Here is a 26,481-nt window from a genome sequence, read left to right on the forward strand (position 1 = left end):
AGAACGCAAGTTTGAGGGACCAATACTCTGCAGGCTGGGGTCTGGCTCACAGTCTTGTTCTTTCCAGGTGATTCTCCATCTATGCGTAAGAACAGTGTCCTTGGGAGAAACCTCTCCTGAGGCTGGCCCAGCTCGGAGTTCCTACAGGTCTGTGTCTTGCTGTTATTTTGTAGGTGTTTATCTTGGTGCTGTCTGTGTTAGCAAGTGAGCATTCAGCACATTTGAGCCCACTCGCTTCGCTCTGAAATAGCCTGCACAGAGTCTTCGTGCCGCACCCTCTCTGGAGCAGCTCCACTTCTGTGTTTTCAATTGGACTCTCCAGTTCTGCCATGCAAAAGCTCCAACTCAATGGACAGCAGCCTCAGTGGATGGTTTCCATGCATACATCCAGGAAAATGGGAAAGTTTAATTGCATAAATTATACGAGAAAGTGATCTTCCCATGGCTACTGAGCGAATATATGTTAGCATGTCATTGATGCTATGCTAAATCCTAATGGTTCATACCGACATTAAACCCAAGAATGTTTCTCAGGTGAGAAAGCTGCAGTTGTATGCAATATGCCTACCTTCCTCTTGTGGGATGCAAAGGAAAACACATGCATGCACAGGCAAATGTTCTTAAACACACTTTGGGGCTGGGGGATGGTGAAGCCAATTGATTGGCAAAATCTCCCCTTTTCTTCTGTTTAGAGAAATTGCCAGTTGCATATAAATGAGGCTTGTTGAAATGGAAAGTCTTCTCTGTGAATAATTAAGGTAAATTGAACATGAGTCTGTTATCAGTGTGTTTTTTATTTCAAGAAATGTTAATTTATCAAAAAAAACAGCAGAAAAGGTAAATAGAGAAAATAAACAGTAGATTTAGAGATAAAGATTAAGTGACTGCAGACTTTCAAGATGTTAAGACTAGTTTAGGTTTGAACATAGACATCTGAGGTTTCGGTTGTGGAGAGACAGTAATTTTATCATACTGCCACATTATACAAATCCCCAGGCTGGGCGCGGTGGCTCACATCTGTAATCCCAGCACTTTGGGAGGCCAAGGAGGGCAGATCACGAGGTCAAGAGACTGAGACCATCCTGGCCAACATGGTGAAACCCCGTCTCTACTGAAAATACAAAAATTAGCTGGGCGTGGTGGTACGCACCTGCAGTCCCTGCAACTCGGGAGGCTGAGGCAGGAGAATCACTTGAACCCCGGAGGCAGAGGTTGCAGTGAGCTGAGATCGCACCACTGCACTCCAGCCCAGTCAACAGAGCAAGACTCCACCTCAAAAAAAAAAAAAAAAATCCGATACAAACTGCAAAGTACTTTTCACTTTTCTTCCTATTCTTTCTCCACTTTTATAAAAACTTCCCTTTTTTTTTAGCTGAAAAGTTCTTCAACATAATTTGTCCCAGAGCTCAAATATGATCAAATTGATGGCTCTTGTGGCATTTCTTTGCTAAATTTACTGATGATGATATTAAGATTATTAAAGACATTCATTTAATGACCTAGAAGATTTAAAAATCAAACTCCAGACATGAATAAAGACTTTGCTATTAAAAGCATGGTATGAATAAATGAACACATATATAATAAAGGTGTCTACAAGGAACTATTTTTCCAATTATTTGTTTTTAAATTTTCTAATGTATCTGATATTTCACCGACTTATATATTATGTAAATATGAATACCTACCACCTTCATTGAAGGAGAGGAATAATTTTTTTTAATGAGAAATGAACACATTCTAGTTTAAGCAATGTTGCTCTAAACCTTTTGTTGAAGGAGGGCAGGTTAAAAAATGTTTTTATGATTCATTTACATTTTGTATTAGATGAAGTCTTAGCATATCACATATAAAGTTTCACATAAATGAATGAACATACTTAATCAATTTGAAAATATTCACTGTATGTATTTTGGAGGATTGGGTTCTCAGCTTCGGCTCTATTGATATTTGGGGCCAGGTCATGCTATACAGGGGGCTGCCCAGTGCGTTGTGGAATGTTGAGCAGCACTCCTAGCCTCTGCTCTCCAGATATCAGAAGCAGCTCTCCCATGATCCTCCCAGATGTGACAACTAAAAAAAAAAAAAAAAAAATCCAGATATGACCATACGTCTCCTGGGGTAAAAAATTGCATCTAATAATAGCCACCGGCAGTAATTCCTCTCGCAAACTAAAAAACTGGGTTATTTTCTTTAGCATTTTGTAAATTATTAATAGTTGTCAATGTTGTTTGCTCACTTGCATAAAGTATACCGGCATGCAGCCTTTCCCAGGGCTGCATAGCTAATGTGCACTCCCATGCCTTCTACCAGGTGCCAGGCCTGTACACCTTACCACCCTGTGATTCAGGGTGCAAAAGGTGGCAGGCATCTCCCTTGTTCTTTGCATAACTGAAGGGAGCTAGTAATTATCCCTTCCCACAATTGCTCATTCACTTAACAAGGATACAGGAGACACCTCTCATAGGCTGAGCATTGTTGTAGGCTCTGGAGACAGTTCCATGGGCAAAGCAGGCTGATGTCCCTGTTCTCATGCTGAAGGCTGAGGGCTGCATAGGCAGGAGGGATGAGGGAGAAAAGAGCAAAAAACATAAGTATATAATATTACGTCATATTATATAATTAAGTAAACTACATAACAAATTGTAAGGTGATAAGCCATATGGAGAAAAGAAAATGCAACCAAGGTAAGAGGATTTGGAAATTCAGTCAGGGAGGATGTTGGAATTTAAATGGAGTGGTCCAGCTGGATTTAATTGAGCAGGGGGCCATTTGAATGCAGACTTCATGGAGGTGAAGAAGTGAGCCTGCTGGCATTTGGGGTGGGACTTCGTGGCAGAGGAAGCAAGCCTGTGCAAGGGCCCTGAGATTTAAGCACACTTGGCCCATGTGGCTGCAGCAGCTCATGTCATGGAGCATTGTAGGGGGCAGTGAGTGGCCAGGCCACGTGGAACCTTGTGGTCACCATAAGGAATTGGGATTTTCTCTGAAAAGAATGAAGAGCCGCTGGATGGTTTGAGCAGAGAGGTGACACAAACTCGCTTGTGTTTCAACAGGGTCACTCCTGCTATTAAGTAGAGTGTAAACTGCTGGAAGACACAAATAGGAGCTGACAGTTCATTTAGAATGCTAGGACAGTGATCTGGACCAGTGGAGATAGTGGCCTGGACTCCATAATTAGGAGAGATAGAAGGGGGAAGGGGAGTGAGAAACACATGGCTAAGCTCCACAGTGAGGCTTCAAAGACTGTTTCCTTCCCAGGGCACAGGGAGAGATATCAGAGTGCAGGGCAGTAAATAGTCACCTGCATCTTTGTGAAGAACTGGAAGTTGGTGTCATCTCAGCAAAATGTTCTCTGTATGATGGAACTGAGAAGTGCTGGCTGCCTTCTAGGTAGGTAAAAAGGTAGGAAATGGGCTCTGACATAAACAGGTTTTCAGCCATGTACCTGCTCCATCATCTCCACTTCCACTTCTCATTCATTTATTTAGCAAACATGGGCTGACTTCCCTGGCTGCAAACCTCAGGATACTGGCAAGTTCATCAGGAGAATGGATTGTTGATGGGAATATAGACACTTTTTGTATCTTTTGAGCATCAGGTTCTTAGGTAAAGGCCTTGAACCTGCCCTATTTTATGCTGCTCATGCTGCTATTGCCAATACCATAGCCTGGGTGGTTTATACAACAGAATTCTTTCTCACAGTTCTGTAGCCTGGGCAGCCTGAGATCAGGGTGCCAGCATGGTCAGGTTCTGGTGAGGGCCCTCTTCCGGGTTGGCAGATGACTCTCCTCTGGTGTGTCTTTACTTGGGAGAGAAGAGACAAAAGAAGCAAGCTTTCTCCTGTCTCTTTTCATAAAGGTACTAATTTCATGGAGGAGGGCACTACCCTCAGGACCTCACCACCTCCCAAAAGCCCCACCTCTTAATACCATGACGTTGAGGATTAGAATTTCAACATATGATTCCGGCGGGGGGGATGGAAGCATTCAGTCTATAGGACTCCCCCTCCAGTCCTCTTGTACTTCCTAAGAGTGGCTGCATGTTCTCTGAGAGCTCCCGCATCTTAACATAATGTTGATTTCAATTCCTCAGGTATTGGGCGCCTCAGTGACCGATGCAGTGGGGTATGCAGCAAGCAGTAGATGGTAGATGTGAAGCTTCCATTCCTAGAGTTGCAGCAGCCCATAGTCTTTTTATTAGAGATCCAGCTTCCTACAATTGCACCATTATCAGAAACATGGCAAACAAGGTCCCCATAGCAGTTGCCTGTCTTTTGCAATCACAACTTTATCATTATGTTGAGTTGTTCTAGTTAGAGAATAAGCAGAATTGTACATTTTATAATAAAGGGTGATATTTTATGTTTGCATTACTTGGTTTTTACTTTTCTTATTTGCTTTGTTAGTAAAAAATAAGCTCCAGACAAAGCACCCTAATAAAATGATGCATGCCTATATCAAAACAAGTCATGCACCCCATAAATATATACACCTACAATGCATCCACAAAAATTAAGAAGAAAAAAAGAAAATTAACTGAAATTTTGGATAAGGCTTAAAGTAGGTGTCCATTTTTCTGTTCACGCACATGTGGCCAACGCTCTGATTTGAGGTCTCTTGATGCTCCTCCCCAGAACTATAAGTGGAAATTGGGGAATTTAAAGGAACCAGAGATCAGCATTGTTTTTCCTAATTGACAGAAGTTTTATCTTATAGAGTGAAAAAAATGGTACTCTTGCTTTGTTGTAACTTAGAGAAAATACAAGATCTGACAGGATCCTGTAGAACTGCACCAGGAAAGGTTTGCTTTTTAAAAAAGTATATGTGTTGATGTGTTTTCCCTGCCTCAGTCTCTCATACACCCACATCCACACTCCCATACCACACTAGGTTAATAGACAATTTTTACTTAATTGACATTTTTTGTACCTTTTGAGCATCAGACCTTCCAACTACATACAGGATAAAAGGAAACTTGCTGTATCAAGACTTTGTCTAATAAGAAAGCAAAAATACGCAGAGAAAAAGAGTATAGTGTACATCCCCTGTACACCTTTTGGTGGTCAGCAAGGCAAATAGGATCATAGCTTTGGAATCTGAAATGCCTGGGTATGAGTCCTGGGGTACCTTGGTTTCTTCATCTGTAAGGCAGCAGTACCTGGTGGGGTCTACTTCTCTGCCCTATGTTTGAAGGCTGAACTCTAGCGAGATCAGCTGAATCTCTCTGAGTATCTGGATTCAGCCATGGGAAGCAGTGTCCCAGGGCTGGAGGGGAATGAGATTATCATTCCTCCTCATCCTCTGCCTACTGGCCCATGGTTGCTGTCCTCCATGGAGACACAGAGCCCTCTGTAAGGGCATTTATTTTGCTCAAGTTCTGGGGGCACCATCCCCTCCACTTGGCCTCTGAAGACCTAGTCCCTGAGTGTTTCAGCTGCTCCTTTTTGTGCTCTCTTCATGATGAAGACACCTTTGTAAATTATTCGTTCATTAATGTCTCTTTAGCTACCCTTATGTATGTGCCATCTGTTCCTGCCAGCACCACGAGGCAGGCCTGTAGGATTAGGGTTAGGACTGGGTAAATGAAGGCATATAAATTGTTTAGCATCACATCTGGTTTACAGAAGTTCCCCACACTTAGTAGTAGGTATTTTGTAAGAGGTGGTTCCTTCCCCATAATACAGGGTCACAAGAGAAAGTCAAGACCACTCTTAAAATATTAATATTTTAGGTCATCTTTGTGTAGTCTTCTGATATTTCATAAGATTACATTACAAGTTTAGGGATGGAAATGTTTCTCTATGATGCTACACAAACTATTTCAAAAAGCAATTAAGGAGAAGTCTACATTAAAGTAACTCCAACCAAAGCCTGTGTCCTCTTTTCCACTTCATAATGTTGCTGCGTTGAAGAGTGACCTTCAATAGTGTGGTGAAAAGAACCCTGAACAAAATGTTGGGAGGCTTGTTTTCCGGTTCTGGCTGGAGACTTGCTGGGACTTCATAAAATGATCTCAAAGCCTCCTTTCAGCTCTGAAACTATATAAATAGATACAATTTTATAACATCTATACATCTAATGTGATATGCATTTGGGGAACACTTCTTGGAGGTGGTAGGATTTGAACTAGACACTGAAGTAGGGTGTGATTTGGAGAAGCACAGAGTCCTGCCCACTGAGGAGAGCAGAGTCTGAGGGAAGAGGGAGAAGGGACTTGTCAGCTTTTGATGTGATTATGCTGACTTCAAAAAACAAGTTGGACACTGATTCCTCTTCTTTTATTTTCTGGAAGAGCTTGTTTATGATGTGTGTGTGTGTGTGTGTGCGTGTGTGTGTGTGTGTATGACGGAATTTACTCTCGTTGCCCAGGCTGGAGTGCAATGGCCCCATCTTGGCTCATCGTAACCTCCGCCTCCTGGGCTCAAGCAATTCTTCTGCCTCAGCCTCCCAAGTAGCTGGGATTACAGGCATGGGCCACCCTGCCTGGCTAATTTTTTGTATTTTTAGTAGAGACGGGGTTTCTCCATGTTAGTCAGGCTGGTCTCAAACTCCTGACCTCAGGTGATCTGCCCATCTCAGCCAACCAAAGCACTGGGATTATAGGCATGAGCCACTGGGCCAGGTCTGATTTGTGGGTTTAAAAAAATATATATTTAATATAATTTACCACTGACAAGCCATCAAAGTCTAGAGATTATTTTGTGGAAAAGTTTGAAAATACAAAGTTACTTTCCTTAACAGTTAGAAAACAATTCATATTTTCTATTTCTTTTTGTGTCAGTTTTGATATAGTTTACTTTTCTAGAATTTGATGCTTTCACCTGAATTTTAAAATTTATTGGCATAAAACAGTTCATTCAATTGTCTTATGACTTTTTTTATTTTTAAGTTATGCGTTATTTATTTATTTATTTATTTTTTAGGCAAGGTCTCACTCGGGCACCCAGGCTGAAGCGCAGTGGCACAATCCTAGTTCACTGCAGCATTGAACTCCTCTGCTCAAGTGATCCTCTTACCTCTGCCTCCCTAGTACCTAGGGCTACAGGCATGCACCATCATGCTTGGCTAATTTTTTTTTTTTTTTTTTTTTTTTTTTGTAGAGATGCGGTCCCACTATGTCTCCTAGGCTGGTCTTGACCCCTTGGCTTCAAGTCATTCTCTGGCCTCTGACTCACAAAGTGCTGAGATTACAGATATGAGCCACCACCCCCGGCATTTTATGACTTTCCAATATCTGTGAAATGCATAGAATAGTGTTGACCCTTTTCTCTTTGTGTTGGTGGTTTTTTGAGACTTTACTTTTTTTTTTGACCAGTCTCATCAGGAATTTATCTTATTAAATTTCTCAAAGAACTAACTTTTAGCTTTGTTAATTATTCTAACTCTATGCTTGTTTTCTATTTTGTTAATTTATACTTATATCTCTGACACGGTTTTGCTTTGTGTCGCCACCCAGATCTCATCTGAAATTGTTATCCCCAGGTTTTGAGAGAGGGACCGGGTGGAAGGTGATTGGATCATGGGGGCGGTTTCCCCATGCTGTTCTTGTGATAGTGAGTGCTTCTCATGAGATCTGATGGTTTTATAAGGGGCTCTTCCCCCTTCCCTTGCTTTCTTTCCTGCTGCTTTGCAAAGAAGGTACTTACCTCTCCTTAGCCTTCTGCCATGATTTTAAGTTTCCTGAGGCCTCCCTAGCCATGCGAAACTGTGAGCCAATTAAACCTCTTTCCTTTATAAATTACCCAGTCTTGGGTGGTATCTTTATAGCAGTGTGAAAATGGACTAATACAATCTCAAATGTTTTCATCCTTCTGTTTTAAGATAGTTTTTGTTATTTTTTTTCTGTTGATTTGGATACTTATTTATTTTCAGCATTCTTTTGTAATATTTGATGGAAAATTATAATTTCCTTCTAAGTGTATATTTGCAGGATCTCATGTGATTGATGTGATTGATATAATTTTTAAATTATTGTTCAGTTCACAATAATTTCTATATTTCATTATGAATTATTCTTTCAAGTACAGGTTACTATGAAGTATATTATCTTCCAAATATATGGGATTTTTCAGTTTTCAATTTTCTATTCATTTCTAACTTGTGCTGAAGTCAGTTACCCATTTTATTATATCAGTCATTCATGTTTCTGAGATTTTCTTTATGGGTTTGTAAATGGTTAATTTTTATAAACGTTTTGTGTATGCTTAAAAAGAATATGTGTTTTGCAGTAAGTGGCTGCTGTGTTTCATAAATGTCAATGAAGCCAAGTTTCTCAATCACAAAGCTCAAATTCTCTATATGTGCAAAATCTCTTTGTGACTATTTCGTCAGCTTGTGTTAAGGACTACTGAGAAAGTATTGAGTGTTCATATATTTGTCTATTTATCTTTTCAAATTCGTTAGCTTTTGCTCTATATTCTTGAGGCTACATTATTAGAGACATACAAATTTAGAATTATTTTATCTTCCTATATTATAAATTTTTATCATTATGAAATATACCTTTTGATCTGTGACATGTTTTGTTTAAAAACATCATATTCGTATATGTATCTGCCTTCTTTCAGTGTCTGTGTAGCATATCACTTTATACTTAACCATTGTGTAACTTTACAGTTCAACTACATCAGTCATAGCCAACATCTAGTGGCTTTAAAAAAATTGTGACTAATATTTTTCTTTAAATTGTAGCATTTAATCTATTTTTAATTAACATAATTACTGATAAAGTATATGTGAATTTGCCATTTAGCTGTTTGTTTTTCATTTGTTCCGCTTATTCTCGGTTTCTCTTTTTCTCCTTTTTTTTGCTTATATATGGGTTGTTTTAAAAATTAATTTATTTTTATCTATTATTAATTTAGCCATTACTCAAGATTAGCCTGTATCCTTGAATTATCAAACTCAATGCTTCTTTATACTCTTACCCTTCCCTGAAAAAGTGGAATAACTTAAAACTGTTTATGTATTTCCTCACCAAGCTTTATGCTATACTTTCAGTATATTTTAGTTCTCTGTCTATTTTAAATGCTCTGTGTATTATTGTTTTAGATAAGTTATATGTATCTACTCACAAGTTCATTTCTTTTAAGATTTTACTTGTTTTCATTAATAAATAAGTCATATTAGCTGCCAATATATAGTAAAAAGGACAGCATCTTCCATGATCTCTGATTTATTATTATTTTCCTTGTCTTTGTTGTTTGTTTTTGTTTTCCTTTTTATTCTCTTGGTTTTTCATTTTGACATAATTTTAGACCTACAGAAGAGTTGCAAGAAGAGTTCAAGTAATTCCTATATGTCCTTTATACAGATTTCTTGAATATTTACATTTTACCATACTTGCTTTGTTCTGAGGACTCACTTTTTCCCCTCTCCTTTCATACACACATACACCAGGCACCTCATTCTTTTCTGGATTGTTTGCGAGTCAGTTTGCTAATGACACGCTGTCCATTACCACTAAATATCTTAGTATGTTCTTAAAGTAGGACATTATTTTACAAAACACCAGTACAGTTACTAAATAACAGGAAAGAGCTATTGATGCGACTCTATTATCTATTCTGTCTACCTATTCAGATTTCTCGCTGTGTCCCACAAAATAGTCTTTTCAGTAAAAGAAAGTCCTGTACCATGTGTTCCAGTTAGGATGCCATGTCTCCTTGGTCCTCATGGTATCCTTGAATAGGATGAGTTCTTGACTTTTTCTGTACATTTTATGACATTGACCATCTTAAAGAAAAGAGGCCAATTACTTTATAGAATAGCCTCAATCTCAATGCATGGCATGTTTCCTCACAATTAGAATCAGCATGTGCACCTCAGGCAGGAGTGACACAGAGGGGATGCTGTGCCTTCACTCCCTCGTTGCAGGAGACACCGGGCACCAGTGACATTACCAGTTGCCAGTTACATCAGCAGTGGCATTACCAGTTACCAGTTACATTACTGGTAACTACAGTATGGTAACTTTCATCACTTGACTATGATGGTATCTCAGGTTTCTCCACCGTCAATTTGCTATTTTTTTCCTTGGTAACTAGTAAGTATCTTGGGTGAGATACCTAAGATTGTGTAAATATCTGGTTATGCTTCAAAATCAAAGATACAGAGCTGTCTCCACAGGGCTGATGGAAGCCAGAAGACAGAGGAATATATCCCTAGTGCTGAGAGAAAGAGTTGCCAATTTTTTAAAGTAAAAACACCCCTGAAAAATGAAAATAAAGTATCTTTTTTTAAAAAATACATGATTTGAGAGAATTGTTCACCTGAAGATCCTTACTAAAGTCTCTAAAAATAAATACATAAAATAAAAATTTAAAATTTTTTTGTTTTTAGAAAAGAAAAATAAATCCAGTCCTCACTCAATTCTGCTTTGTGTGAGCAGCACATCTAAAGGATCCCTGTCTCTGGGCTGCTGTCACCTTGTTGCTGCTGGTGCCTGCCAGCCTGGTTGCCAACCCCTTTCCTTCTCCTGACATTTGGTGCTTCCAGATGTCCTGGAGTCCCTGACCTGATGGTCTGCTCTTTCTGGCTTTCCAACGCAGGTTTGCCCCGTCCCTCCCAGTGATGCCTTCCTGCCCTGTCTCGGTAATCCACAGCTATCACGCTTGGACACAACAATGTTCAACTTAAAATCTGATATACAAGTCTTGAAAATTAAAAAGAGAATTTCTACTGAGTACATTTCATCTCCAGACTCTGTTAATGTATGAACTGTCATAGGCAGAGCTTTGGTCTTCAGACCTCATTTCCAAAGAACTGTCCCAATCTTTTTCTAATAAATGTGTTGTTATTGCTAGAGGATCCAAATGGTTTCTGATTTAATTCAATTGCTAAGCAAGAAAAAAAAAAAGTCTAGGCTACTCACAGCTGAAACAAAGAAATCTCAATTTAGCAAGCAGGCTTATCCTGCTTAAAATAATGCAAACATGTTGGTGGGTATGATGAGATTAGTGCATTTTCAAATCATCCAAGAGGGACAGTTTTACAGGAAATATAGCTTATGTGGAGCATAAGAGGCCCCTCAATTCTCATTGGCAGTGCTTTCATACTTACTGCAGCCACACAGGGCAAACATGCATGCATGATACAAGCCATTAGTTTGGGTCTGGATTTAGGAGGCCTGGGGACAGGTGAGACTTTACTTCTCTAGTTAAGATAGGGACTGGAATAGATGATTTCTACTGTCTCTTCCTGTTCTAAGATGCTGTGGCTATAGTACTGTTATCATTCAATTAATACTGGACCAGCATCTCATTTATATACTTAAGCCAATATTTTTACAATGTGGCAGTTTCCCTTCTGAAGTGAGAAATAGAAGAGAAGCTACTTTGCAATGACCTTGATTATTAAAATATCTTGCTTTCTCTTATATACGCACACACGGATATTTTACAAGCCAGAGGAGGATGTGTGGGGAGGATGAGATGACAATGCTAAAGCCAAAATGCAGTATCACTTTAGTTCATTATTTGGCCTGAAAACTCATTCCCTGGACTTAGTCAGGAGAGGTATTAAAAATGTCAAGCGAGAAATGACAGGATGAAAGGCAGATTGATTTAGGTTTTCAAAATTGATTAGCAGTTTGGGGCCATGAGAGCAATTTGTGTGGTGTTTTCACTCTACTAGTTGCTAAAATTGATTAGCACTTTTGAGGAAAGTATAGCAAATTGCTATGCTAATCAAGGTAAATTAAATCATGAAGCGACTTGATTACTGGACTCTGCACTCTCAGCAAAGCTTCAACAAAACCAGTTTGGAAAACAGTCTTTCATTAGAGCAGTAGAAAAACTTTAGGCTTTTTCCTTCTTTCCTCTTGATTTTGGGATTTGGGGGAGTGAGGAGAAATCACTTATGCTCTTCACTTTGACAATTTCTCAGTCTTTCAGAAAAAAAAGAGCTATTATTTGAGAAGATGAAAGTATCCATACTATTTTTTTTTATTGCAAGCAAATTGGTATTTACATTTTACCAGACTGGCATTAAATTGCTTTCACTTGGTAAATGGTTTCAGCTGTGACCTCGTCTTCTGGGGGCAGTAATATAATTTGTGGGTTACAGTCTGGAATGATGAGAATGTTGTTTCCCCATCAGATTAGAGATTTGGTATGTGAAAAAGGCAGATGACATTTTGTGATTGGCCTGGACAAGGTTTTGTGTTAAAGAGTGAGTTCTTTGTCCAAGAATATACCTTGTCTTAGGCTTAATTTACATTTCCTTAAAACACTTCAGTGAAATATTAGAAGTAAATATCCAATTTGAATCGATCCCATACGACAAGCAATTGGTAACAGCGTCGGATCTAATTCTGTCAACAATTCAAATCAAGTTAATAAAATATATATCGTGTTTATGTTTGAGTTTAATCTTAGATTCCACATGTTTTTCAGACTGCTGTGGGACTGGCTGCATAAGAATGGATCATATGTCACATATGAGGCTTTTCAGATTTGACTTCCCTTTCTTTCCTTTCATTCCCTGGAGGATTTGGTGTATTGGGATCAGGGTGAATATTAGAAATTATATTACCAATGAACTCCTTATATCTGAATGATTTGCCCTCACATTTGAGGACTGGTGATTTTGTCCAATCTCTTCTTTTAACAGATAAAACAAACAAAACAAAACAAAAAAATCCCTAATGTCTAAAGAGATAAAATACAAAGAATGGAGAAGGTTGATGGTAGATCATTGTGAAAACCCCTAACAGTGGAGTAGGTTGTCTCAGAAGACTTCATGGAAAAGGAAACAAGTTGGACCTTTAAAGTGGAACAGAGTATTTTGAAGTACCTGCTACTTAAGGAAGATTTTTGGTGAAGGATGAATACTAAAAACTGAAGGAGAGTATAAAAGGGCTTATTATAGCCCATGAAAAAAGGCAGGTAATGGGAACTTTCTGGGAAGGCTGGAACAGCCAGGCATCAGATAGATATGGAAGGGTGTGTAGTAGAAGATGACATTGAAAAAGTGAGCTAAGGAGGATTAGAAGGGACTCCAGGGCCACGGTAAGAAGGTTACATTTTAAACCTTTGCAGCAGGTATTAGGATTTCGATTTAGCACTGTGATTATGAAAATAAAAAGTGTTTCTTTTCTTGTTTCAGATTTTGGAGACCAGATAAAGATGGTAGTTTTGGATCAAGATGTTCTAACAATATCGTGATGGGCGTCAACACCTGGATTAATGATCACAAGGGAAAGATTCCCCTGTGGCTACACGGATTCAAATTGTGATGTTTTGTGAGTGGATTGCGTGAAATTATGTGAAGTGAGTTTTTACCCACCCTTAATCTGCCAACATTAGGACCAGACTAGAGGTTCAGGACTAGACATGAGGAAATACAGTGAATGATCCAGAATGTGGGAATTTTGAACATTGTGGGTATACGTTGAACTGTCTTTCCACCACCTAAAGGATTCAGGTAAGAGGAACACTAATTTCAATGCTGTATGCCTGTAAGTGCTTCCAAACTTTTATGAACCTCAATGTTTTTTTTGTCTAATATCAAAAGTTCACAGGGTTTCAAAATCTGGGCTGGACTTTTTTTACTGCGGGTTTTGAAATTTTAAAGCTGTAGGCATGTCAATGATTTGATTACAAAGCTGAGGCAGACATGTTGTATTACTATTACAAAATTATTTTTCCCAATATTAACTTGGGAATGCTTCCATCACAAAGCAGAGTACTGGTGTAAGAGTTGGAGTGTCTTGGTTCAAGTCCTTGTCCTGACGCTGAAGGCGTGACCGTGGGTAAGTTACTTTACCACTCTGAGCCTCTGTTTACTCATCTATTAACAAGAACAATAATATCTCTACTTTTCTTGCTGCGTTTTGAGATCATTAAGCTAGATTAAAACACATTATAAACCACTGCTTCTATTAATATAACTATTAATTGGCTGAATATCTCTAACTCAGCTTTATGAAGTAGTTAGTATTTGTGTTCATGGAGCTGATGTAATAAGCTAATAATGTGAGTCTCAGATAAGTTATCTGTCACCTGTTTAATTCACACAATCATGGGGGCTTCCAAGAAAATACAATTAATAGATATTGTGTTGAAGTCTGTATCCACAGAAGGGAAGGAGTGTGATTCCATAGCTCTATACCCATGGTTGACATTTTATCTCCTAGTGAGGCATTAACACACCTCTCACTGCTTTGAAGCTCACTTATGTTAAAAGATGAAGCCCCCAGAAAAGCAACTTTGAATACAGAAGTATGATATCCACTTATCTTCTTTATTCTCTTCCAATGCACATAGTAAAAGCATGGCTTTTCCACTGGGCAGATTATCTAACCTCTCTGGATCTTATTTCCTTAACCGTAAAATAAGAAAAAATAATTTATAATTCCCATGCTTCAAATAATGCTTTGGAGAATAGAGTCATAATATATGTAAAAATACTTTGTATAGAATAAAACTCCATAAATTAAGGATCCTAATGTGGGAGTTATTTTATATTATTTCCGGTTGTTTCCGATAACGTGCTTAGGTGATCTGAGCTATAATTTATAATGTCCCTACAATGAATAAACTTATAGGGTGCACCAGCCATGGAAAATTGAAAAGAGAAACTTTTCTATGCATTTTAAATGGATGGCATTTTATATATGGGCTTGGTTACACAGAAGAACTGAGATACCAAAAGACAATAGTGCTGGAATCCAGAGGTCAGCAACAGCGGAATGCTGCTATGACCCCTAGTGCTGGCAGACAAAAGTAAAGGTGGCATTACTGGATCTAGGAGCTAGGTGCAACCCAGAGATCAGCACCTGCAGGGTGCTGTTATCATCCCTAGTATTAGGGACAAAGGTGAATGTGGCATTACTGCAGCCTCAAAGCTGGGGCCAGCCAGAAGAAGCTAAAACCATGGTAGGTCTGTCCCATGGGAGTTGAAACCACAGAGGACATCCAGCTGCTGCTAAAGATCCCAAATGAAGCAAATGAGGAAAGAGAGAAACACCCTGACTTCTCCTTTCCCACTGTTATCCAGGCTCCTACTAGTACCCACCTTTGGTCAAACCTAGCTGGAGGCCAGCTAAGTGTAGCTGATCAAAGGCTCTTTGTAAAGTGGGCAAGGCAGGGAAAAGGGAAGAGGGATTCTGAGAGAAAGCAGGCTAAGAACTGACACAGATGTGCCTCATCATGGGTTGGAATAGGTCCTGGACCTCACAGATTTCACAGCAAGCCTCTTGCTGCAAAAGGCGCCTTTTCTTTATGAATGGCTTCCTTTCCAGTGAAGATGAAGATGATGATGGTGACAATGATGTTTACCACAGCAGTCAGTTATTGAGTCTAAATTACTATCCTGGGCATTTGGTATATGCTGGCTCTGTGCTATAAATACTGTCTCCATTTTATGGAAGGAACAAGAGCAGAAAAAATTGAGTAATTTGCCAGCTAGATAAGAAGCAGAACTGAGATTGGAAGCCAGATCTTCTTGGCACCAAAACCTGGGCTCTTTAACGTACATAGCCTGTCATCTACTCAAAGGTCTACTTATACCTTCAGATATGATTATCACCTCTTCTTCCTCTGCCAAGTAACTTCCTTGATCTTAAGTTGGTCATAGAAAAACATCTCCCTTATTTTAACAGCTTTGATTTAAAAAAATACTTTAGGTATTTGAAATCTTTTAGTTTAATATACTTTATAGAATCTCTTCATTTCCGGAATTCTTTTATAACAAATACAATGCGTTCATAATCTTTGGTTCAGCTAACATTAATAAATTATTGTCACTACAAAATAAAAATGACTCTCTTTGGAATTTAACTATTATGAGGGTCACGGTCCTAAAATATATATGCTACACAAACTACAGATTATCCAACTTTTGTGTCCTTCAGTTCACACTCGAGAATAAAGTTGAACACTCTTTAAAGGATCACATCCTAACTCTCCAACCATGAAAATTGCTCTTCAGTTTAGTCCCATGAGACACTGGGAAATGTTATGCAAATTAAATACACCTCATTGAGTTTTACTAAGCTCTGGTCTTTTTTCCTCTGTCCTTTATTGCTAACTACACCATGACCCTGAATAATCAGAATAAGCCACATTATTTTGACCATTTCACTCTGCTAGGAGGAAAATACCTGGTATACAGTAGCAGTGAGGTGGGCCAAAATGGAACATGACAGGTGAGGGAAACTTTTACCAAATCCACCCAGTATCTGGTTTTTCTTCATAGCTAATCAGCCTATCTTTCACATGAGACCTGAGCTTCAGCTGCAGGTACCTCAGTTTGTCCCCTTGGGAATTTCTTTATGCCCTCCCAAGCTCAACTACAAGTAGGTTAAGTCTTCACTGGCAGCAGCTTCTTGTCTTTATTCTGATGAGTTAACCAATTAATGTCTTTCCTGACAAAAGACACCACAACTTCAACTGGGTCACTCTAATGGGCATGATAAATTAAAGGTTGATTACTAGCATACTAAAAGAACTCTTTGCCTCATGAAAGTTTTCCCTTGAGCATTCCTTAGTTCTTTTAAATATTTATGGAATGTTTACCATATGCTAGGTACTCTTTTAGGGTATGGGAATACAGTGGTGAACGAAACTGATGAAGTTTACATTCCCTTGGGATTTATATTCTAGTGGAGAAAAATCACAGTGATTCAATAAACACATATGTTGTGTTTTTAAGTAATGACAAGCTCTTTGAAGAAAAGGAAAGCAGGGTAAATGCTCAGAATAAATAGGATACAGTAATTATGATAACTTGAATTAAAAAGCCCCTGAGGTTGTGACCTTTGAGGGGAAATGAATGGAGCATGGTAGCAGCTGCCATGCAGAGATCGGGGGCTAAGCCTTCCACATGTGGGTGAGCAGTGCTAGACCACGATATAGGTCCAGGGAGTGTAAGGACCTGGGTCCTAGACACCTGCTGCTCAGTAAAGATCAACAAGAGGTGGAAAGAGTTAATCTCTGGAAAAAAAATGCAATAAAACAGATTGTAGTAGATTAGAAAACAAAAACTGAAAATCAAGACACTTAGGACTCTAGTTCTCTGTTTGTAAGTGGAGAGGAAAAAATAAGAGAGTGAAATAATTTTTCTGCAACTATTTACCGAATATTCAATGTAGAAGGTTTTCTGCTTAGGAACAAAAGGCATAGTCCAAAGTGATACTGCACAAGTGACCAACATCACCTTCAGTTGGTGGTGGGCAAAGTTGGTGCTTATTTTTTTTTTTGCCTTTAGACATAATATACAGATAGAGATATAGGTATGTATTTTGGTATTTCCCTATATAGTTTCTCATTCACTCATAATTGGTGGAAGTTTCTAGTGGATAGGTAAAAAGCTTATGATTTAGAGGCCAGAGCCTTATGATTTATCATAAATCTTATGATTTAGAGGCCTTGAGGCAATTGCCATTACAATAAACAACCAACAAAAAAGGAGCAAAGTCAGTCCATCTCTTACTGCCCTGCGAAGCCACTATAAAACTAGCAGCAGAGGCTGCCTACAGTTTTTTTTTGAAAAGAGATGAAGCCTGCCCAATAAAAGAGTCAGTGGGAGTCTCTTCTGATAGGAAACATAACCCTTGATCTGTAGCTCATGAACTAATCCATGCAAATGATGAAATAAATTTCTTATCACATTTTGGCTGCTCTTTTGTGTGTAAGCTCCAAGAAAAAAATGTCGGCATTCTTTCCTCATGTCCTCTGGGAGAAATCTGAACACTGCTTCCAATACTTCCCTCCCCTATCATCCATCTCAGTCACATCTCAGAGTCTTCTTCTGCCTTGGGCCTTCCTCAGCACTTCCACCTATGTGACATGCCCATCCCTGCATTCCTCACACTGCTGTCAGAGAGAGAGAACTAGGCCAGAATCAACAGGCCTGACCAGGTTGACCACTCACTGTTGGTGAAATAACTGTCTCCAGGTCACTGTTTTCTCATCTGGAAAGAAAGGGTTGGATTGTAGGATAAAATAGAATTCACAATCAAGGTCAGACCCTACCTCCTCCAAAACCCTTACTTGCTCATCCAAATCTAAAGTGTCATTGGCACCTAAGAGCCTGATCCATTTATTGTCTTTGAGATTCCTTTTGCAATTGATTCCATTGAGTAAGCCCTGCCTGCTCCAGGAAGCTTTATCTGCTCAATGGCCTGTTATCCACCCAGTCACAGGCATCCAAGTGAGAAGTCTGGCTTCATCTCAGCCCACTCCCTTTTTCTCAGCAGGCATTCACATTTCCCATAGATAAGGAGCCAGGTTGGCCAGCCTCTGGTGGGACCCCCATCAGTTAGGCTCTGGTAAAGTAAGTGTCCCTTGAGGTCAGGCCTTGGTTAGGGAGAATTGCATGCTCCAGTTGTATTTCAGAATGGTACCTTTTCCCCTCCCACTGCTGAAAGCAGGAAAATGTTTTTCTCTGAACTTCGGATCTTTACCCTGAGAATCTGGTGGGGCTCCTGGAGGTAAAACTCCCAGAGCATAGGAGCTCCCCTAAGACTGAGGTCCTGGAGTTTTTAAGCCAGTTCACACTCAGTCTCCAGCAATTGGCCACTTACCCCTGAAGTGTTTCTACCAGATGGTGGCTCCAGCAGCTGCTTCTGCTCTCTGTAAGCCATGCTTCTGTATTTCTCTGTCTGTCCAGGTTTTGGGTGGTGGGTTGCTCAGTGACCTCACTTTTCTGATGGATCTAAAAAGAGTTCTTTTTAGTTTGTTTAACATTTGTTGTTATTGTTGTTGTTGTGAGGATGGGCATGAATATTTCCAAGCTCTACATGTCCAACTAGAAATGGTTTGCTTTTTTCTATAAAATATCTAGAAATCTTTCCATGACACTAAATACAGATCTACCTTCTTAACCATGGCTTCATGTTGCAATTATCTGTAGAGTTTAAAAGAAGACTGAAGCCTGCACTGCCTTTAGAGTGCTGATATAAATGGGTTAGGTGAGGGTGTGGCAAGGACATGGGATGTTTAAAATTCCTGAGTTGATGATGATGTGCAACCCAAGTTGAGAAGCTCTGGTGTAGAATGACTGAACACACACCTGGAAATAGCTATGTACCATTCGGTATATAGACTTCTGCTTAACTAAAGGCTGCACTCTTTGCACTAGAGACCAACTTCCTTCTCCTGGCAACTCATGGCTATCTTGGTTCCCTGGATCTTCTTCTGCTAGTTCTTGGCTGCTCATATTTTTTGCCATATATGATAGGATGCCCAATTTGTGGTTCAAGCTCAGGTCTTTTCTGCTAGATCTTGGTTCTTAGTTTCTTGAGTACTGAATCTTACTGATTCATTAGTAGGGAAAGGAGCCTATCAGTGTGAGGTTGCAGCTCCCTGTCTTGGGGAATGTTTTGCAGGATAAATTTCCCTTTTACTTAAGGTAAGACAAGGAGAGTTCCTTCCGTGTTGCACTCTTAACTGAAAGTGGATTTTGCCATTGCTCAGAAATATAGACCTTTGTGATTACTTAAGTGCAACACCATGAAGCAATGCCCCAAAGTCTCAGCCAACACCACAGCCCCCTCCAACAAGCCAGCAGCAGACATTTGCACATTAGCTGCTCACTATATGTGTGCTAATTTTATTTTTATATGAACACTTTAGTTATGAATAGAGTCCGATGCTATCTATCTTCTCTGTTCATCATTTCTCAAATATTGGAAGTATTCTATATCTGCACTGCCCAGTATGATAGCCACTAGCCATATGTGGTTATTGAGCCCTTGAGGTGTAGCAAGTGTGGCTAAAAAACTGAATTTTAATTGAATTTATTTTAATTTGTTTAAATTTAAATAGTCACATATGGCTAGCAGCTATCATATTGGACAGCATAGAGAGAGACAAATATTTGAGGCAAGTGTATGTTTCTTTGGTGTTTCACAATGAGGCAATTGTAAGTTTCTTTGGTGTTTCACAACTTTTCAGTTTCTCTCTCTCTCTCTATACTTCTCTGTGTTTAAAGATCTCCTGCTCTGTATTCCAATATTTGAGGCCTGGTTGCCTGGTGGCCATCTTTTCCATTGCTATACATTACTTCCTATCTAGCGTTTCTCTTGCCAATTTCCTTCTGTCCAGACATAAATGTTCCCTGTCTCTCATCTCATTCCTATGGCTCCTCTGGATGTTGCAACTGAAGAATTGGTTATTTGATAATGCCTAGAACTGACAGATAGTTTCAACAAAAATACTGAACAGTGTTACCAAAATGTACTAACCAATTAGACAAATGTAGCTGACATTGAGGTAATTTACTCCACATCCTACCTTTTATATCAGATAGTAAAGCTTTTATAATCAATCATGTATTTTAAAATAACTGTTTACTTCGCACATACAAGTGAAAACTATATTTAGAAATATACAAAGTTTATTTCTATTTGACTTTGTATTTCCAGATCATCATGTTTGCTTCCCAAGGAATTTCAGTGCTAAATTCTATCTGACCATCTTTATCTAATATGGCTGGTCCTTATTAAAGGACCAACACAAGCACCATTTGTAAAAAAATTCACTGTGGTTAAGAATTTGAGTCTGTGCTATTGGAAACAAACAATTACATTGAGGTACAAGTAATTGTACCCAAGTGACAGATTGGGAAAGCACATAGTATTGGCAGAGAGAATGAGTTAAAATACATGCCCATAAGCCACACTGAAATGTGCTAATGTTATTCCACTCTCTGACTATCACTGAACACCTGGAAGTAACTTAATGTCTCATTGGAAAAGAGCTCAAAGAAACCCCAGGAGATCTTTCAAACCATCTAGAAAACACGTGTGGATATTAAACAATCACTTATGAAAAAAATCGTGCCCAAATTTTTGCTTATACCTGTAAAGAAAGTTTTGGGAAATCCAAACCAGGTTGGGAATGTGACAGGATGGGAAGTCTTTTAAATACAGACAGCTGAAGGTGAACATTTTGAAGTCCTCACATTTTTGACCAGCTTGAGACCTGAAAGTAGCTCCACTGTGCCTTCTCCCACCACCCCTTACCACATAATCATAAACAGCACCCAGACATTTCTTTTTGAAAGACAGAAATCAGATTTAGCAATCAGCTCCTCACAAGTCATCATCTCCTCCTCTTCCTCCTCTTCATCCAGTGTGCCAGGCAGGCACTGTGAATTCTTACAGTGAGCTGGGCACTGTGCTAGGCATGTGACCTCATTAGATACACTTTTACAGAGGAAAGAGAGGGTAATGCAATGACCAACTCAGCTAGGATGTAATGAAGCATTTATATCCTAAATATGATTTTCACCACAGTTTCCTTGCTTGAAAAAAGAAATTGAAAAAGTACATGTCTACATGCCCCTTCTTGCCTTTTCTCTGCCTGAAATCACTCATTTTGCTCTTGTTTTAAAGACTAGCTCCAATGCTCCCTCTTGGTTCCATCTGTCATGATAGAGTCCTCGCTGGGCACTGTGTACGCCCCTGTTCTGTGGCACCTACCCATGTCTGCCCTGGCACAGGCCAGTCCTTTACATCGTGAGCTCCCCAAGCATGGGGACCAGTGCTGACTCATCTTTGTATCTTACAACCCAACACAGTTGCCAAAGATGGACACTTGATAGAAGTCAGGGCAATTGGCTCTCAAAGGCAGCATATTTTCAGATTCTTGCAGGTACAGCTTCCGGAGTACTAAGCTACAATGTGTGTTTTGTTTGTTTTCTACATGCACTCTGTAATGAGCGGTGACTGCAACCAGCTTAGTGACTCATAAGAGTGCTTATTAATGTTTTGGAATCATGAGCCCAGTGTTAAACACAGCCATTTTTAGAATTTAATTTGCATAAACTTATAATTAAATACATTTTATTTTAAAACAAAGGTAATCAATACTACAAAGTTATCACTTCCTACCTATCTCTGCTCTTGAGATTACTCACATCTATTGCAAGCATGGTGGAAATGCAATACAATGACATAATTCTGCACATCCCATCCCACTCTGCATTTAGTGATGTCATGTTAGTAACATGACACCATCCATGGTTGGCATATGTGTCCCACAGAAATGGACAAGACTACAAATCAGAGACCCCCTCATGCCCAGTGACTGGCACACTACCAACTTATTCTGAACCCAATTCTTCCTTATCCAGATTGAGTACTTTCATTTTCAGATCTTCCATTTAACTAAATATTTCAACAGTATCTTTCCTGCATGCAGATTGTTAAGTTGAAAGATTAAAAATACAGAAAAATGCATTTTAGAACTAAGAGACATTGAAGCCATTATCTTTTTGTACTGGTTGAGAAGTCTGTATCGCATCTTGCAACACCACAAGATCATGACAAGGGATCTAATTCTGATTATTCAATCTAGGAAAATAATCTCTGTCCTTTGAGCTCTCAGGTTCTTAAGGTTGAGGAAGACAGGATTTCTTATAATTTTGCATCAGAGTACAAAATGAATAAAATACAGAACCTGTCAGCTGAATCACTATACTGAATACCTTTTTAAGCAACAAATGCTTTCACCCGGCATTTGGTGATTGAATATACAATCAAGATGAAGCAGTAAAAAGGCCAGTACGCTACCTCATGGGATTCTCTTCTGTCTCTAGTTTATTCTCCATCTTTTCCTCCCCTCTGCCTCCTATAATGTCTTTTCTCTCTCTGTTTAAGGATACCTTGCTCTGAAATTTCTTACGTTGAATAGTAAAGCAGATAGTTCTAAGAGAAGATTATTTGCTGTAATGCACTTAAAAAGCTTGTTTGGGGTTATTTGGGGGTAAAGCAAGGTACCTTAAAAACAGTCTCGTTTTCTTTCTAAAAATTGAATAAAATTGAAGATCCCAAGAGTTGCTATTGCCTGTGGTCACTTTGGCTCATTTATGATTTTTCCTTAAATAATTTCCATTTCTTCTCTATCTCACCTTTTCAGCAATATTTTTTCCCTCTTAAAATCTGCTTACTTCAGTTTAGTGTGACCCAATTTGGACTGATGACCTGGAGGGGAATTTTATGAACATCGTTTACTGTAAATAAAGGTCAGGGAGAGAAGTATGGTTTATGTAACTGGCTTTTTAAATGAAGTAAAAATTGGATTATTTTCTCAAAGGTGAATCCACTCAACAGGCCTGGAAACTTTTAGTTAAAAATAGTATATTGATCAAGTGTCTTTCTTTGCAGTGGAGCAGAGAAGAAAATGTTAGTAAATAAAAGTTTTATTTTTCTGTCTCCATGCTTTTCTTTCCACGAAAATATCCATTCATTTAGTTCCCCATAAAATCACTTACTACTGAACAATTCAAAAGTGCTATATTCCACAGATGTGTCCTTTGAGCAAATTTTATAGGGTTTTTTGTTGTTGTTGTTGTCGTATGTGGCCAGCACAAAGGATTATTTCTCAAGCTTTAAGGAAAAGAGTCAGGTAGGTGTCTCAAAAGGAAGGGAATGGCCTCAAGTAAAATCAATGTTCTGGGAAAGTTGGGAGAGTCCAACACTCAAGAGAAGCTAGCTGGGCACCCCTCTCACACATGAGATACTGTTCCCCAAAGCCTGAGCCTCTTTTGGAAGGTTGAGGGTTGGCTGTGGCTTCAAAGTCTAATGCTAAGCCGAAGGACTCGGTCATTCTACTCCATCAGCTTCAGTGTATGTTGAGAATCCATGTTTTATTGCCTTAAATTGTTTAGAAACACATGAGAAGAGTTTCGTGACTATTAGATAAGAAGAGAGTTTCTGCATAAAGTGAGGGAGTGTGAACCAGCTGGTGCCTCTGGCCTTTCCACAAATATTCCTACAATATCGACATTTAGGACAGACAGTAGAGAGACAGAGAGTAATATTGGGAGAGTGAAGACTCATCAGGCAATGTTTTACTTATGACAGTGCATTTACGAGCATGAGGCAAACTGGTAAGGTGGAAACAAAAACACCTGAGTTTCAGTCCATTGTCTGAGTTGGGGTATTGTCTCTGCCTGGAGACCTTCAGCAAATCACACACTCTCACTAAGCCTCAGTATCAATATCTGCAAAGTGAGGGTGACAGCTCTCTGACCTCCACCAGAAGCCTGATGAGAGGAAGTGCATGGAAATTCTTTGTTAACAGTAAAGAGCTCTATAATCTGAAGGTGTTATCAAGGCTTTGGAATTCATCCTCTAGAGGTGTACTACAGGGAAGAAAATAAAATGGAGTCTGGAGGGGCTTGAGAAATATTACGTTCCTCCCATGATTTCCTTTGTGTAACTGGATAGTTACTCTTGGCAGTGGCAATTTTACTGAAACAAGACCAACTAAAAAGTCTTCAGGAACTTAGCAAGCTCAATAGCCACCAGGGGCGGGGATGAAGGGAACTGGCCCTAGAGGACTCTGCCATGAAATTAAGATGCTGCGATGTGTGTAAATTATCGATGCCATGAAAAGTGCCTTCTGGCTCCACCCTGTAAAATGAGAGCTTAGGCAGGGCAGACAGGAAGGCAATGTCCTAAAAGAGACCTGCATTTTTCTTTAGGCTGTGCAGAGCAGAGAACAGACCAAGACCCCACTCCTACAGCAGGGAGGAAGGAGAGCAGCCGCCAGCCACTACCTGGAGCAGCACTGGGGGTGTTCTCTCTAAAATTTACTCCCAACTAACTTAGCCCAGATGGGATCTTGGGAAATTGAGAGGTAATTGCCTTCATATTCATCTTGAGTGCATTTTTATTATCCCTTTCCTCAGAGGATTATCAGGGAAAGAAAGCAACAAAGCTATTTTCTGGAAAAATAAGAGATGCACATCTTCTCAGGTGATGAGTGTTTTTTCGACAGAGAGATATTTTGATAGAAAAATATCCAGTGCAACCCAGGGGGATGTTTAGATGGTAGAGCCCCCGCTGTGGTCTGAGCTGCATGTGCTGAGTGTCTGGAAGGCCGGGCCATGTCAGTTTCCAGTGAGTAAAGCAAAAAAGTGAGCAGCACGCCACACTGTATGGCGAGCACTCAGAGGGAATAAGCATTTTTCACGTGGGCATTGCCTATTTCCACTGGGACAGCTCCTGTGAGAGCAGCTTCTGACTAGCCACAGACACTCACTGTCTGCATTTCAACACTGCCCAGGACCTGGGGAAAGTGGATTTCCCATTTTTATTTTTAACACTGCACCTATTTTCTTGATCCCAAGCTAAGCTTTATAAAGTAATGATGTGGATGACTATTTTGACAAACGTCAATTAAACTACTGCAGGTAATGGCCACAGGAGATTCAGCCATCAACACATGCTGTCTGCTCCGCCTGCTGCCCACTTTCTCTGCTAAATGATTGTTAAATGCCGTAAAGGTGGCCAGCTGTGCCCTGTTCTGTGGATGAGAATACTGAGCTAGAAAGACCATTTTAAGGAACATCCACTTGAAAGATTTCTCCAGAATGCCAACAACAGGAGAGCTCATGGATCTCTGGTATGTCACCTAAGCCAAAGCAAAAAGAAGAAAATGGAGGTTCTGTGGTCCCCTGTATCCAAGAGAGAGATTTCACACACATGTAGGGCACACATGCACACACATACACACACAAGCACATGCTGACACTTTCTATACACAACTTCCTAAATCTCAAACTTAACTTTGCTAAAAAAGAGAGGGAGATCCAGGTGCGGTGGCTCATGCCTCTAACCCCAGCACTTTGGGAGGCCGAGGCGGGCAGATCACCTGAGCTCAGGAGCTTGAGACCAGCCTGACTAACATGGCGAAACCCTGACTCTACTAAAAATGCAAAATTAGCTGGGTGTGGTGGTGCTTGCCTGTAATCCCAGCTACTCGGGAGGCTGAGGCAGGAGAATGGTTTGAAGCCAGGAGGCGGAGATTGCAGTGAGCTGAGATTGTGCCATTGCACTCCAGCCTGGGCAATAAGAGCAAAACTCTGTCTCAAAAAAAGAAAAAAAAAAGGAGCATATGAGTTGTGAAGTATTTAGTATAATATTTAGGTTAATTCATAGTTTCTACAGTAATAATTCATAATTCAAGCATATGTTGATTTTCTTTCTCTATTTTTTAAATCATAATTTCTTGATTTCCTGTCCACACTAAGGGAAGGCTGTCAGTCTGCAGTTAAGCCTGACCGGCTCCTCCTGGCTTTCTCTGTGAAACTACTCTTCAGACAGTTGTCTGTAAATGAACTTCCAAACCTTAACATAAGGCCTTTGTTGGAGCTTTGGAGAAGAGAGGAGGGCAGACAAGAATCTCTTAGTCAACTTCCCTCCCTCCCTGGACTCGTCCTTCTTGATCTAATACCATTTAAATTACGGTGACATCTCATTCTAAATGAGTTTTCAGAAACCAAATTTTAATCAATTAAGGGGCATTGCATTCTTAACCTTCTATTGAAGTGTATTGTATGTAGAAAAAATTGCACATGGTATAAATAAATATTCACAAATGCAATGTGCCCATGTAAACAACAGCTGATCAAGAAACAGAGTATTACCATAAACTTCAGACTCCCTCTTTTCACTTCTAGGGACCATTTCCCACCCACGGAAACCACAATTCTGACTTCAAAAAGTTTAGATTAACTTTAT

General features: G+C 39.6%; 1 long non-coding RNA gene across 1 annotated transcript in view; it reads right to left on the reverse strand.

Moving 5' to 3' along the window:
• Positions 1–26,481, reverse strand: part of LINC01789 (long intergenic non-protein coding RNA 1789) — a 110,883-nt gene that overhangs the window by 9,469 nt on the left and 74,933 nt on the right. Inside the window, exons 2-3 of the long non-coding RNA NR_183814.1 lie at positions 2,450–2,549; positions 569–743 (exon numbers count right to left, since the gene is read on the reverse strand). This is a non-coding gene — a long non-coding RNA (long intergenic non-protein coding RNA 1789). The remainder of the gene's footprint in view (positions 1–568; positions 744–2,449; positions 2,550–26,481) is intronic.

Source organism: Homo sapiens, chromosome 2 (genome assembly GCF_000001405.40).
Source record: "Homo sapiens chromosome 2, GRCh38.p14 Primary Assembly".
In the NCBI taxonomy this organism is placed as follows: Eukaryota; Metazoa; Chordata; class Mammalia; order Primates; family Hominidae; genus Homo; species Homo sapiens.